The sequence below is a fragment of the Homo sapiens genome, chromosome 3 (assembly GCF_000001405.40).
Source record: "Homo sapiens chromosome 3, GRCh38.p14 Primary Assembly".
Taxonomy (NCBI): Eukaryota; Metazoa; Chordata; class Mammalia; order Primates; family Hominidae; genus Homo; species Homo sapiens.
This window is the reverse complement of record NC_000003.12, coordinates 68,319,665-68,335,424: the sequence shown is the minus strand read 5'-3', so window position 1 is coordinate 68,335,424 and position 15,760 is coordinate 68,319,665. Positions and strand designations below refer to the sequence as shown.

The window sequence follows — 15,760 nt, the reverse complement described above, 5'->3', positions numbered from 1 at the left end:
TATGGATAACTCATTCATTGCTATTTCCCAGAGGGAAAAATGGGCAGTGGTACCATAGAAAGACTCAGAGTTGAAGCCCAAATAACTAAATAATAGACATGATATTCTCATCCCTGGAAAGCAAAGTGCTTATCATTTTTTATGCCTCTGACTCTCCATTTACTAAATAAAAGCGTTGGTGATAACATCTATAATTCCTTTCAGCTGCAAATTCTATCAGTCTAAAAGAATTATTAGCTTATCCTATGAAGAGAAAGAAAAATCATACCAAACGCTCTTATAAATAAAAGGCATGTAACAAAAGCCATAATGCAAACACATTTCTCATGAAGCTTGTGAATGACCATTATGGTCACATGATAAAACTCCATGCACAATCACCTTGACAAGTTACTAAGGTTCACTAATCTATGGTTCTGCTCTGCTTCAGAATATACACAGAATTACATTTCTTTATTCCCTTGAAGTTAGGTATGCTCTCGTGACTACTACTGGCTAATGAAATGTGATATAAGTGATGTGTGACACCTTGGAGTCAAGTATTTAATTGCTGGGGCTCTGTTTTCCAACCCTCTCTCTTCCTATCCCTCAGAAGATACAACAAACAGCAAGATGATAGATCCTTCATTGATATGGGTCCCTGAGGAACCCATATCAATGTGTCTCAATGACTTGCCTCAGACATGTAACATGAGTGAGACATATAGCACGAGTGTCAAAACGCTGGGATTTCAGGGTGAATTTCCTACCACAGCAAAAATCAAAATGTGGTACCTGATCAAGCAGCACTGGTATCAGTTCAGAGATTGTTAAAAATGCAGAATCTTAGGGCATGCCTCAGAACTAGTGAGTCAGAGGCTGCATATTAACAACATCACCACATGATTTGTATTAAGATTGAGACACACTGAGAGTCTATCCTGACTTATACATTGCTTAAGTAACTGTCCAATGTAGATATATTTGAAAGATCTAGCTTTCCCTACTGTTCATAAACTCCTAGCATTTTCTTCAACATGTTCAAAAGCTGTTTCACAAATCGACAAATGTAACAACAACAACAACAACAAAAGAAATATAGTATCTCAGCACTGCTTTGAACTATGCCTAATAGAATGAATGTTCTCTGTTCCTATCTTGAAGAATGAAGAAAGGAAAACATGTATAAATGGCCCTACCCATACCATTTTTTCTATGTATAAATGCATAGTAAAATCATTACCACAATCAAGCTGATTAGCATGTTCATCACCTCATAGCATTATTTTATGTGTGTCATAAGCTTACCATTTACTCTCTTGGCAAATTTCAAATATACAGTATATTAACTATAGTTTCCATGTTGCACATTGGGCCTCCTGAACTTTTTCATCTTATAACTGAAAGTTTTGTACCCTTAGACCAAGATCTCCCCATTTCTCCCACCTCCTGAAATCCTGGTAACCACAGTCTTACTTGTTTCTATGAGTTTGACTTCTTTAGATTCCACACGTAAGTGAAATCACACAATATTTGTCTTGCTGTGGATGGCTTATTTCATTATAATAACATCCTCCAGGTTCATCCATGTTGTAATTGATGGCAGAATTTCCTTCTTTTGTAAGGCTGAATAATATGCCATTTCTTCATTCATTCATTAATGAACACTTGTGGTGACTCTGTATCTTGGCTATTGTGAATAATGCTGCAATGAACATGGGAGTGCAGATCTCTCTTTCACTCACTGATTTCGTTTCCTTTGGTTATACAACCACAAATGGGATTGTTAGATTACATGTTAGTTCTATTTTTTAAAAAACTGTTATTTTAGGTTCAGGGGTACATGTGCAGGTTTTTTATATAGGTAGATTTTGTGTCGCAGGGGTTTGGTGTACAGATTATTTCATCACCCAGGTAGTAAGCATAGTACCCAATAGTTTTTTGATCACCCTCCACCCACCCTCTACACTCAAGTAGGTCCCTTTGTCTGATGTTCCCTTGTGTTCATATGTACTGTGTTTAGCTCCTACTTATGAGAACATGTAATATTTGGTTTTCTGTTTCTGTGTTAGTTTGCTTAAGATAAAGGTCTCTACCTTCATCCACATTGCTGCAAAGGATATCATCTCACTACGTGCAGTAGTATTCCATGGTGTATATTTGCATTTTCTTTATCAAGTTTACTGATGGTCATTTAGGTTGATTCCATGATTTTCCTATTAATGGTGATGTGAAAAACATACACATGTATGTGCTTTTATGACAGAATGATTTATATTCCTTTAAGTATATACCCAAGAATAGGATTTCTGAGTCTAACGATAATTCTGTTTTAAGTTCTTTCAGAAATTGTCAAACTGCTTTCCACAGTGGCTAAACTAATTTATATTTCTACCAGCAGTGTATAGGTGTTCTCTTTTCTCTGCAACCTCACCAGCATCTGTTATTTTTTGACTTTTTAGGAATAGCTATTTTGATTGGTGTGAAATGTTATTTAATTGTGGTTTTGATTTACATTTCTCTAAATGATTAGCAATGTTGAACACATTTTCATATGGTTATTGGCTGTGTGTTCTATTTTTAATTTCTTGAGGAACTTCCACTGTTTTCCATAATGGCTCTACCAATTTACATTCCCACCTACAGTGTTCAAGAGTTTCTCCATATTCTCATCAACACTTATTATCTTTTGACTTTTTGATAACAGCCATTCTAAGAGGTGTGAGGTGATATCACAGTGATTTTGATTTATATCCATGATGAGTGATGTTGAGTACCTTTCCACATACCTGTTGGTCTCCTTCATTTAATATGCATGTCTTCTTTAGGACAATGTCTATTCAGGTCCTTTGCCCAATTTTTATTTAAAAAATTTTGTTTTTGCTGTTGAGTTGCATGAGTTTCTTATATTTTGAATATTAACTCCTTGTCCAATACATGGTTTGCAAATATTTTCTCTCATTCTTCAGGTTGCCTTTCATTTTGTTGACTGTTTTCTTTGCTGTGCAATAACTTTTTAGTTTGATGTAATCTAATTATTTATTTTTGCTTTTTATTTTTTTGCCTGTGCTTTTGGCCAAAAAATTATTGTCAAAACAAATGCCGTGAAGATTTTCTACTATATTTTCTCCTAGGAGTTTTATGGTTTCAGATGTTACATTTAGATCTTTAATCCATTTGGAATTGATTTCTATGTATGGATCCAATTTCTTTTTTTTTTCTGTTTTCTTTTTGTATACAGATATGCAGCTTCCTAACACCATTTATTGAAAAGACTATCCTTGGCCGGGCGCGGTGGCTCACACCTGTAATCTCAGCACTTTGGGAGGCCGAGGCGGGCGGATCACGAGGTCAGGAGATCGAGACCATCCGGGTTAACACGGTGAAACCCCATCTCTACTAACAACACAAAAAATTGGCAGGGTGCGGTGGCGGGCACCTGTAGTCCCAGCTACTCGGGAGGCTGAGGCAGGAGAATGGCGTGAACCCGGGAGGCAGAGCTTGCAGTGAGCTGAGATCGCGCCACTGCACTCCAGCCTGGGCGAAAGAGCGAGACTCCGTCTCAAAAAAAAAAAAAAAAAAAAAAAAAGAAAAGAAAAGACTATCCTTTACCCATTGTTCATTCTTGGTGCCTTTATTGACAATTAATTTACCATATATGAATGGGTTTACTTCTGTCCTTTCTGTTCTGTTCCATTGGTCTGTGTATCTGTTTTACACCTGTAGCTCTGTAATATAATTTGCAATCAGGAAGTGTGATATCTGTTGTTCTTGCTCAAGATTGCTTTAGCTATTCAGAGTCTTTTTGTGATTCTATGCAAGTCACACAAATTTTGTAATAACCTCCTAAAAGGTGCCTGATTTTGGCTTCAAATCTTTACAATAAACATCTTTGTAATGGTAGAGTCCTAGTAACCAACTTATTTATTTTTTAAAAAGTCTATTATCTTACTAGCATTCATTCATTTATTAAATATTTTTCAAGTATCTACTATATGCCTGAACTATACAATATAAAATTCATCATATAAAATGAAATTTAGTGGCATTTAGTACATTCACAGTGATGCAAAACCATCACCACTATCTAGTTTGAGAACATTTTCTTCAGGCCAAAAGGAGAACTTGTACCCTTCAAGAAGTCAGTCTCCATTCCTGTCTCCCCATAACCCTAGCAACCATTTATTTACTTCCTGCTTCAATAGATTTGCTCATTCAAGATATTTAATATAAATAGAATCATACAATATGTGACCTTTGTGTTTAGCTTCTTTCAGTTAGCATCATGAATTTTAGGTTCTTCCATGTTATAGCATGTACTAGTACTTAATATTTTTAAGATTGAATAATATTTCATTGAATGGATATACCACATTTTGGTTATACTTCATCAGCTGATGGACATTTGTTGTTTTTTGTTTCACCTTTTAGCTATTGTGAATTGTGCTGCTGTGAACATTCTGTAAAAATTTTTGTTTGAACACCTATTTTCAATTCTTTTAGGTATGGAACTATTTTTAAACTGTGAAAAAAAAACACATATGAAATTCCCTGTCTTCAAGGTATTTAAATCTAGTAAGGGCAATACAAATATTTATTGAGAGTAGAAAATGTCACAGCCAGATAGACTAAGACCATTAAGGCAGTCTTTCAGGTAAATATCTCAAAGCTAAAAACTTCCAAAATTATACAAACCAAATAAATGAATAAAACACAGTCATGAAGCTTAGTAGTTTATTATATCTGATTCCAATCCCAGTTCTACCACCTACTAGTTATGTGACCCAAGGCAACTTAATTTCTCTAAGCTTTGATTTCTTCCCTTGTAAATTGTGAATATTGATAACATACCTTGCATCCCAGGGTTGTTTTGGGGATTAAGTGTGATAACACACATAAAGCACAGCAAGAACTCAATAAATTGTCATTTCTATTATGTGCATTTCAAAGCAAAATAAGACTTAAGACAAAGTAAAAACATATGAAGGGGACCTGGTATAGCTCTCCAGATCCCCCTGTGTGACTTTGTTATTGAAATAATCCACACAGTAAGTAATCCATTTATGTGGTTTGATGAAGCCAGCCTTACTCTCCAGTTGCAGTAATAAGCACCTGGATCAGCTTGGTTAATAGAGGCCTCAATCACATGGCCAGATTGATGGTTTCAGGAAAGGGCATGCAACCCAAACTGAACCAGAATCTGAAGTGAGGTTTCTTAGAAGAAGCCTGGAAGAGAAAGACTTCTTTGCATCTAGAACTATGACGACGTAACCTGTAGCTTCTTTTGACCATTTGCCCATGATACATGGACAAAGCCAGTTTCTGTAAGAATTAGGCCAACACACATATATAAGTGGTACTGATACACAGTCACATATCTATTAACATTCTCTGAGCCCCTGGACCCAGCTATCCCTGCAATTGGACACACAAGAGTACTTCAGTTTATGTGTGTATCCAATGTGTATGCATGTACTTATGTATTTATTTTGCCAGCTTGACTTGGGGTTTGGTCATTTTTAACTTAAAAAACCAAGACTAATGCAAAATTTAACCCAGAACCAGGTGAATTAATTTTTATATAATTCTAAATTAATAAGGTATGAAAACCCTCCCATTTCTCTATCTCTCAGCACAGAATTTCTTCATAAACATGATAGGTCAGAGATTATTCATACACAGCCACAGGCTGCCTCTGTCTCTCCTGTTTCCAACTTTATACATGTAAAACTCTTCCAAAGTGTAAGGTTAACCAGCAGCTAGTATTGAAGATGTGTTCCTTGAGCTTGTAGAAAGCCAATGGTCAACATATGAGACTGTGGGCATTAAAACAAAGCAAAACAACAAATTCACAAGAGTCTTGTTTGAGAGCAAAAAGGATCTGATAGTCAAGAACTGTGGCCTCTGAACTTCGAAGCCAATCTCTAACATGTCATTAACCATCACCACACTGAGTAAAGACTTATCCCATGACAGAACTGGAACTGAATAGATATGCTGGCACAGATTATCCTTGAGGGGCAGTCTTTGGAAACATAGGCACCAAAATGATACATTTAACATTAAGAGTGGTCACAAGTGGCTGGGCGCTGTGGCTCACATCTGTAATCCCAGCACTTTGGGAGGCCAAGGCAGGTGGATCACGAGGTCAGTAGTTCGAGGCCAGCCTGACTAACGTGGTGAAACCCCGTCTCTACTAAAAATACAAAAAAAAAAAAAAAAAAAAAAAGGCAGCCAGGCATGGTTGTGCACACCTGTAATCCCAGCTACTCAGGAGGCTGAGGCAAAAGAATTGCTTGAACCCGGGAGGCGGAGGTTGGGTGACGGAGTGAGACTCTGTCCCAAAAAAAAAAAAACAAAAAAGTGGCCACAAGCAAGACTGTTTACTTCTCTAAGGAGGCTTGGGAGAGATAAGGGCACAGATAGAATCACAGTGCTTAGTAACATCATGGGGTTACTTTTTTTTCAATTTTGTACATGGCTTGGAACCATGATGCCATTTTGTTTTTGCCTTCCTATTTGATTTTTATTTCATAACATTTTTTAAATCACTCCTCTTGGTTTACCACTAGTCACCTTTCTTCTTAGCTTCCATATCATTGTTTCCTACCATTAAGCTCTAATTTCTAGTTCAAGTTCATCTGTTTCTGCTCTTCAGAGATGCAAGGCCATATACATATTTATTATATATAAAGAGTTTATTTTTTAAAATGAATAAAAAAATAAAGAGTATACAGAAATAAGTGCCACTTGTGAGTTGATACTCAGGCAAAGAGAATTCCAAAATAAACTGCATAATAAAAATGAATAGGTAACACATCTATGCCTCACGTTAGCCTGCTAGTTTATGCAAATCCCTGGAAAATGCTGTAGGCAAATTGTGATAATCCACCAAGGTTGAAATGTTTGTTAACATCTCTCAGAAAACAGCTGAAATGCTTAGACTAGCTTCCCGGCCCAGCAGACATTTTCCCCAGCAATTTTAGCTGAAGGGGCTTCAAAACTGTGTAATAACTACTTTCCCCAAACACAAATCTGAAACTAAATAGGATCATCAAGAAGAAGAGACTGTCCTTCTGAAACTGGGACGGCAATTGCTGTGTTCAATAAAAATAGCATCTTACCCAACATCAAAAGCAATTTTATGAAATTGGTAATTTCAACACTCCACACAGCCCAAGCCAGGCACTGGGGAATGTATTTGTGAGAGCAGCACAAAATCCCAGTTGATCACCAACCAGCTGATTCATGAAAACCAGGCATGTAGAAAATATAAAATATGAGGCTGGCTTTCCAGTTTTGCAAAATGAGAAAAATGAGATCCTAGATCCTAGCCAGTGTCAAAATGTAACATGTTTTTATACCAACAGATTCACAGGCCGACGTTAACCAGGCTGAACAACAGATATGCCCTTGAAGGTACCATATTAAAAAAAAGTTAACACGCATGTAATCAATTAGTAGTCTCAATACCCAGATGCCTCCATTAAAATTTTCTCCATACCATAAAATGCTACAGTAAGAACTCAAGGGTTTGGAGAGTGTCTGGTTTGTAGACCACCTGGGTCCATATCTTTTTCATTATGGAGACTAATAGTGAAGTAAGGCAGCTCTATGTCATGCTTTAAATGATATAATCCATTTGAAAAGCCTTCATTAATAAAAACTCAGCATCCATGAGATGTTGGAGATTTTTATGCATGTTAATTGATTATGAATAAATGATACTGAACTGTGCACTGGGCAGTAATACCCCAACTAATGCCCTTTGTTGAGTACTCACTTTGTGCCCAGCACTGAGCCAAGGATTTATATGAATTGACCCATCTAATCTTCTCAGCAAGCCTAAGAAGTTAATATTGTTAGCTCAATTTTACTGATAAAAGAATTGAAGCTTAGAGATGTTTCATATTTTGACCAGTTTCATGCTGCTAGCAAGTGGTGATCTAGTACTTGAACCCAGATTGGTCTAACATCAAAGCCCATACTTCACTCATGTTGTATCCCCTCAGTTATACAACCATTTTACTTTCAAGTTTTTGTAAAAATGTATTTCTTACAAATACATTTTTACAAAACTCTGCTAGAACTGTAAATGATAGGCCTCAAATTTCTGAAATAGTCTCCCGGTTAATATCCAAATACATCTGAGAAAGAGATAAATTTTGCAATATTCTGCTCTCATGATGCTAATAAAGACATACCTGAGACTGACAATTTATAAAGGAAAGAGGTTTAATGAACTCACAGTTCCACATGGCTGGGGAGGCCTCACAATCATGATGGAAGGTGAAGGGGAAGCAAGACATGTCTTACATGGTGGCAGGCATGAGAGTTTGTGCAGGGGAACTCCCCTTATAAAACATCATATCTTGTAAGACTTATTCACTATCACTAGAATAGCACAGGAAAGAACCACCCCCATGATTTAATTACTTCCCACTGGGTCCCTCCCATAACAACTTGGAATTACGGGAGCTACAATTCAAAATGAGATTTGGGTGGGGACACAGCCAAACCATTTCAGCAATCTAATCTATAATCTAGAATTTGGAACTCTCTATTTAAAGATGTCCAAACTCTGTTTTGTGGTTTTGGGTTTGTCACATAACATCTCTCAGCCCCTATTTATTTATCTTTTCAAAGGAGATAATATTTCTTATTTCTCAGAGCCATGAGGCTGAAATGAGATAATATTGAGAGATAAGTGTGCTATTGTGTCTACCTGATAATAAGGGCTTTTCAAATTCTGATTTTCTTTCCTTCTGCCATGATAATTCTTTTTATTTTATGGTGAAAAATGTATGTATTCTTTCAAATATCAAATTCTGATAATGAAATGGCCACATAGATTCTGATAACACAATGGCTAACAGACAGCATGGACAATGCAGGATTTTGCAGGACAGCAGAAGGGGTGAATTGCAAGCAAACTCTCAGGTCAACATGTTCCAAGACTGATGTGAACATATGATATCTTAAATGGGAAATACCAATGAGGCACAGATATGACCAGTGAACCCAGCAATTTCCCAATGGTGCTTATTCTGTCACAGTTCCTCCCTTTCCAGGCTTAATTTCCAAAGATAATTGTCAATGACACAAACCAGAGGCTGCAGTAAACAGTCATTTAAAACAACTGAAGACACATTTGAGTTTCAAATATGTGACACAAGGAACATGTCAAAAGTTGGTTTTGTTCAATAATAGTATCAGTAAAAAGGAAATCCAGCATTTTCTATCAGTCTGAAAATGTTAATTCCTTGTTTGTCAAGTAAAAATAAGAAAATACGTAGCTTTAGGGAAACAACATTTGGGACTTAGGAGCACAGTGAATTCCAAGAAGTCCTAATATTTCCTTTAAATTGCCATTTGTTTGAATTCTCAGACATTCTAATGTATTCTATTTCAAGTTTATTTATAAATAGCTAAGATCAAAAAGTGTTTACACCTGCTGCCCTGTAATGAGTCCCTTGTGTAACAGCTTCCCAATCACAAAGCAGTGATTGTGAATTTGGGATCTGGGTTCCAGTCTCAGATTTATCACTAGCAAGATACACGTCATTGGGCAGATTATTTAACCTCTCTCAAATCCTAGCTTTCTCACTTAAAAAGGGGGCTTAGAAGAGCCTCTGGGATTCTTACAGAGTTATGGGAACTGAATAAGCTTATGAAGAATTTAATACGTGCCAGCTATTATGATTAACACAACTATGGGTCTTAAAATCTTAACTGATTTACCTCAAAGCCCACAGTCATTTCAGCTCCTAGAGGGGAATTTTCTAGTTTGTTCCTAAGTTTACTCTTGATTTTATAGAAAATGAGACCTAAGTAAAAAGAAGTTATTTGATATGCCTATGTAACATAGCCAGAACATAGACTATAATAGTTGCAAAATTAATAGAGTGATAAGCATAATCACTATCATGATAGTAGATACAAACATGCACTGAGCATTTATCTCATGCCAGGCTCTACTCTAAAATCTCCACATATGTTGCCTAATTCAATCATCACAACACTCTGAAATGTAGATACTATTCACCCTTAGTTTACAGATGAGAAAGAGATTGAATAACTAGCACAAAGGTCACATAATTAGTATTTGGGGGGCTAAGAATTAAACCCAGATGATGTGGCTCTTAACTCGGGCTCCCAACCACGTCGCTCTACAGGGAAAGATATGTGTTCAGCTTAATCTTCTACAAATGGTGACACTGATGCCTTGGTGCTGTTAAATATTTCTTCTAGGGTCACACAACTAGTAAGGGACAAACAGGCACTCTAGTTCAGACTACTTCTTCTATTGCAATGATTTCCAAACTTCTGTGATTTTTGTGAATAAATTGAAGAGAGAGAGACAGACACACTCTTGACTGGTGTCAGTGTGGAGCAGATCTGGCAGTAGACCATGATGCCCTTCTGCTGAATACAAACAATTTCATAGAATACCCACCCACATTAGACAAGGCCACTCTGTGACTGTGATGAAGACTGGCAAAATGAGACAACTTTCTAACCACGTCTGAGCATAGACCATAACACAGACATGAGCCAAACTACAAAACAGAACAAATCATCCCTTTCCTGCCTAAAAAGTGACCGTTATTTCTTTGCTAATTACTGCTTTAGCTCCACTTCGTTTGTCCTACCTACTTATAAAAATAAGATATCCAATCTAGAATTATTTCTACAAGTTGGTGCAAAAGTAATTGCAGTTTTGCCATTTTAATGGGGGGAGGACACATGATTTAGGTTTAATTCTTAGCCTCCCAAATACTAATTATGTGACCTTTGTGTTTCGTAATGGCAACAAATGCAATTACTTTTGCACCAACCAAATACTTGTGAGCATTCAATTCAGGGCAAAACCATGAAACCTCTCCAAATTATGTCACAAGCCAAATCCTACAACAAATCCTTCCCCACACACCTTCTGTGACTCCTTGCACTTCCAAGGTGTGCTCCCTCCCTCTCTGTTACAAGCAAGAAATTCAACATTTATTGACTACAAGTGTGTTCCTAGTATGCTTCGGGGCTTTTTGGCTGTCCTGACATAGAATTTTCAAACATATTTTGTATTATGAGAAGATGTGTATATATAAACATTTAAAATTAGCATCTAACATCTATGGCCATGGTTTTTAAAAGAAAGTATATTTATCAACAAGGCTATATTTATCAACAAGGCTATATTTATCAACAAGGCATAGAAAAATATCAAAAACAAACACAATCCACAAACTGTAGTGAATATTAATTTAGCTTTATGAAAAAAAGTCTATATTATCCTTATTTTCCTTAATTCATTTTGGTCTGGCAAAAGCTTTGTCATGGCCCAGCACTGCCAGGAAGAAATCTGGGCTTTGGAAAATCGAAAGCATATACTACAATTTGGAGATGGTGGAGGCTCTTTAAGAAAAATACAAAATAAAGTGGGAAAGTTGGTATTTACGGAGAATGAAGAAAGAAATGCAACAATTCCTGGAGTCTTGGAGACATAGGTGCCCTTCTTCTGGTATTTCCTCAGGCACTTTACCAGAGACACATAGACAGATTATTCCTGATTGCTATCTGGCTTGCCCTCCCAACGTGGAACACAACATAAAACTCGTGTACAAGTGAGGACTCCAAGGCTAAAGTTCCATATGTTTCATAGTAAATCTGTCCATTGCTAGCATTTGGTAACACTGCCTCATGTCATGCTGCTTCAGAGAATTATTTTTCAAGAAATGAATTCTAATGAATCTCACAGGTTAAAGGAATATACAATATTTGTATCATTTGGTTCACTATCTGACTGTTGGCTATTCTTCCTCCTCCCCTTTCAGCTTAAAACTACCATGCACATTTTAGCCTTGAAAAATCATAATTTTGAAGGCTGAAATTACAGAGTTACACATACGAGGACAGTCCGTTCAAAACCTTTTGGGCAGAGAATTGTCAATCACTGACCTGTAGTTAACTCAGATGCTGTTGCTTCCTTTCCTCGAAAAACTCAATGTTTTATTTGGTTTGGTTTGGTTTCTAATTCCCCTTCAGCTTTCCTTTACATTTGTGTTGGCTCCTCTTTCCTGACTCCTCAACCTGTTCTCTAGTTCTGGCCACGTGAATCTATTCATTTCAGTGAATTGTTTACAGCTGGGTAGGTCTGCAGGTGGCAGCTAATGTATTGTACAGGTGGCTGCATAAATCCTGATTCATTTCAGCTGGAGGAGGTAGTGTTCTCCCTGGAATATGTTTAGTTCGCCTGGGTCTAGGGCAGACAGCCCTGGTCATACCAAAGCCAGTGTTTGAGGTAAGATGATATATGGCAAAATCACATTAGCATTTTATGTAAGATTTATTTTTCAAAACATCTTTTAAGATAAGCCATGGCACCGCTTTTCAGCAATTGTGATTATGATTATTGACCACAACTGGTCCTGATTTTCCTGGGGGTAGGGATATTGTGTGCTGTACTGGGAGTGTCCTGGTACTCAGAGAAATACTTTTTCTTTTTTGAGACAGAGTCTTGCTCTGTCCCCCAGGCTGGAGTGCAGTGGTGTGATCTTCGCTCACTGCAACCTCTGCCTCCAAGGTTCAAGAGATTCTTCTGTCTCAGCCTCCTGAGTAGCTGGGATTACAGGCATGCACCACCATGCCCAGCTAATTTTTGTATTTTTAGTAGAAATGGGGTTTCACCATGTTGGCCAGGCTGGTCTTGAAGTCCTGAGCTCAAGTAATCCACCTGCCTCGGCCTCCCAAAATGCTGGGATTACAGGCATGAGCGCCCGGCCCCTGACTATTACCATCTTTAAGGGACCTTATAGCAGCCAACTCCTGGGCTCAGGCAATTCTCCCTCCTTGGCCTCCCAAAGTGCTGGAATTACAGATATGAGCCACTGTGCCTGGCCACAGAGAAAGACTTTTAACACGTGTCTAAACTTGGTTGGGCAAGACATGTAACTTCTCCAAAACTGGGTCTCCTAATAAAGTGGATACAACTGCAATGACGTCTTAGGATTGTGAGAATTAAGTAACATACTTGACTCTCCGGCTTCCTTGAGTGAAGTATGTGTCTTCCTAAGGGTATAGATGATTTTGAGAGGAATAAAACGTCAAGGGCACAAACCCAGCAAATCTTATAGAAGCATTAATTTTACTTAAGGATTGAGCTTTAAATAATTTAATGAGTATGTTAAAATACTATTTTTATGTCAAAATAATTATGGAGCTTGAAGCAAAATATGTATGCTTTCTTTAAAGATATCTATAATATAAGATCAGAGAAAATTTGTACTTGTATATGTAATTTTAGCTTATGGCCCCAGGCCCAGGAAATTAGGAAATTAGCCTCCTCTGCCATTAGGCCTAGTTTGGTTTAAAATTTAAGTATGTAAAATTCTTTTGTATTTATAAATTGCACAGTAAGGTTTTGGCACAATTTTAGTGTACATGCAGCTGTGGGAAAAAAACTCTGTCTTTGGGAATGGATAGCGCTGAAATGCATGGGAACTTCTTTTAAGGTGGAAATATATCTTTTATGAATGATATTAATGGAAGAGAGAAGAAAGTGATTATTCATATTTTGGGCCTTTTCAGGAAACCTTGGAGATTTCAGTTGGCTGTTTCCTTTAAAATGGCAGACTATTGTCCTCCTGTGGTTTTCATTGCTTCAAAGTCCAGATGGAGACTGAAGTGGGCTGACAGAGCTAATAAAACTTAGAAAGCAAGGTGGGAGGAGGTGATGGGGATGGATGAAGGTAGGGAGAGAAGGACATGGTCAGGAAAAGAGAATGGGAGATCAATGATGGCTTCCTGTTAGCCAAATACTTAGCAAGCACGCAGCACACAGCATGCAGCTTCCTGAAAAGCCCTAGCATTTTAAATTTCAGACTTGTTTTATTATTATATGCCATTTTCACCAAATGACTCTTAGAAAAGCCAAAGCTGAAAAAGAAAGGTCTTGAGTACTTGGTTCTTACATATTTACAATTTCATTTATTTATTAACTTCCCTCTTTCTTTCTCTCCAACATCAAAGGAAATATTAATTAAAGACACCCCAGAGGAGATGGCCATACTAACAGCTAATTTATTGAGCCTTTACTATGGCACACAGGCTTATTAAATCTTACAACTAAGCTATTGAAGTAGGGGCTATGATTATCCCCATTTTATGGGCATGACCAAGAGGGGTAATAATAATAGCAGCTAATGTTACAGAGGGTTTCCCATGTGCCAGGCAATGCTCTCATTGCTTTTGTATATTAGACTACATCCACCTCATAATAATCCCAGGAAGCAGGCCATATTTATCCCCTATTCGAGAGAAAAAGATACTCAAGTAAAGACAGAGTAATTGACTTGACATAACACAGTTGGCAAGAGGTAGATCAGCGATTTCAACCCTGACAGTCCAGCCTTGAAGCCCATTCTGTAATATAGTCTGTGTGGCCCCCAATGTATATGAAAAGTGGAAACGTCTACTCTGTTCTGCTGGAGGAGATATTAGGGCTAGACCATGCCCAGCGCCTCCTTAGCACCTTCTCTCTTTGTCCCATTGGGAAGAGGGAGTCTATCTGACTGCAGACCAGGGGAGAAGGAGGTAAGCAGGAGCACTGCTTTGGCTCCCTCTGGGGTGCAGCCTATTCTCAGGGTGCATGCTTTCTCAAATTCCTGCCTTGTTTCACAATCTAGAGTTTGAGATGAGAATAAGAAGAATCTTTGGAACATGGTTTTCATCAGGAAACTGGCTACAGAGGTGACAGAAGAGCTTTGAAGCCAAAGAAGAGATGGGTATTAGCAGTAACAGGGAGCCACCTCTGGCCCTGGGTCACAGGGAGAGCCCAGGCAGGTAAGTTTACTGGGACTAAGTACCAGAGTCCAACAGTAGAAGGTGGGATCATGACAGGCCTTTCTGCCAGGATCGGGAACCAAGGAGGAGATAGGCTTGCTGCAGATAACATGACAGAGAGGGAAAAACACCCCTGAGTCTCCTTTCCCAGTACCTTCCCGTCTCCCATCAGTGAAGCCCATTGGCTAGATCCAGCTGGCACAAGAGCCTGGAAAGTACAGTCTGCAGTGGGCAGCCTCTCCTTGCCCAGAGCAGAGCAGGGCAATGATGATGAGTATATCTGAAAGCATGAAGACTCAGAACACACCCCTGCATCCATTCAACTTGGAGGGGAAGATACAAGGAAGCCAGGTTGTGGCCACAAACCAAAGCCTTGTTCTCAAACTGCTTTACCAGTAAGAAAGCCAAAATGTTATTTTAATCTTCATTTTTAAAACATACACCATCTCTCAATCGACTTGGATTTTACCGGGAAAAGAAAAGGGGTTTGATAAGTAGTATATTCTACCCTCACCTCAAATGGTGAATAAGGTTAAATGTAAATATTATATATATCCATATATATGTAAACATACTGTATATTTACTCAAACTGCACATAAAATATTCAGGTAAAATTATCATTTTAGGAGAAACACTGTTTTAGTCGTATTCTCATCACTTGCTTTATCAAAGCTATCAAGCATTCTAGTGTTACTATGAAAATAACTAATTATTTCTATGATAATGAAGAATTTAAATAGCTCAGTATGATAAAGTAGATTCAAACCATGGCTTAGTTTTCCCCATCTTTGGAATACTAAACTGGAGTAAAGGATTTAATGCTTCTAATATGAAAACATGTATTTTAAACTTTAAAGAAAAACATTTATTTCTCAATCCATTTTGAGCATGATGAATTCATTTTGGGATGGGGACATGAAAAAGTGATTTTACCTAAAGGA

The 15,760-nt window shown here is 37.7% G+C and overlaps 1 protein-coding gene across 7 annotated transcripts in view; it reads right to left on the bottom strand.

Moving 5' to 3' along the window:
• TAFA1 (TAFA chemokine like family member 1) overlaps positions 1-15,760 on the bottom strand; it is a 554,078-nt gene that overhangs the window by 210,197 nt on the left and 328,121 nt on the right. The gene's annotated exons all lie outside the window — the stretch shown is intronic.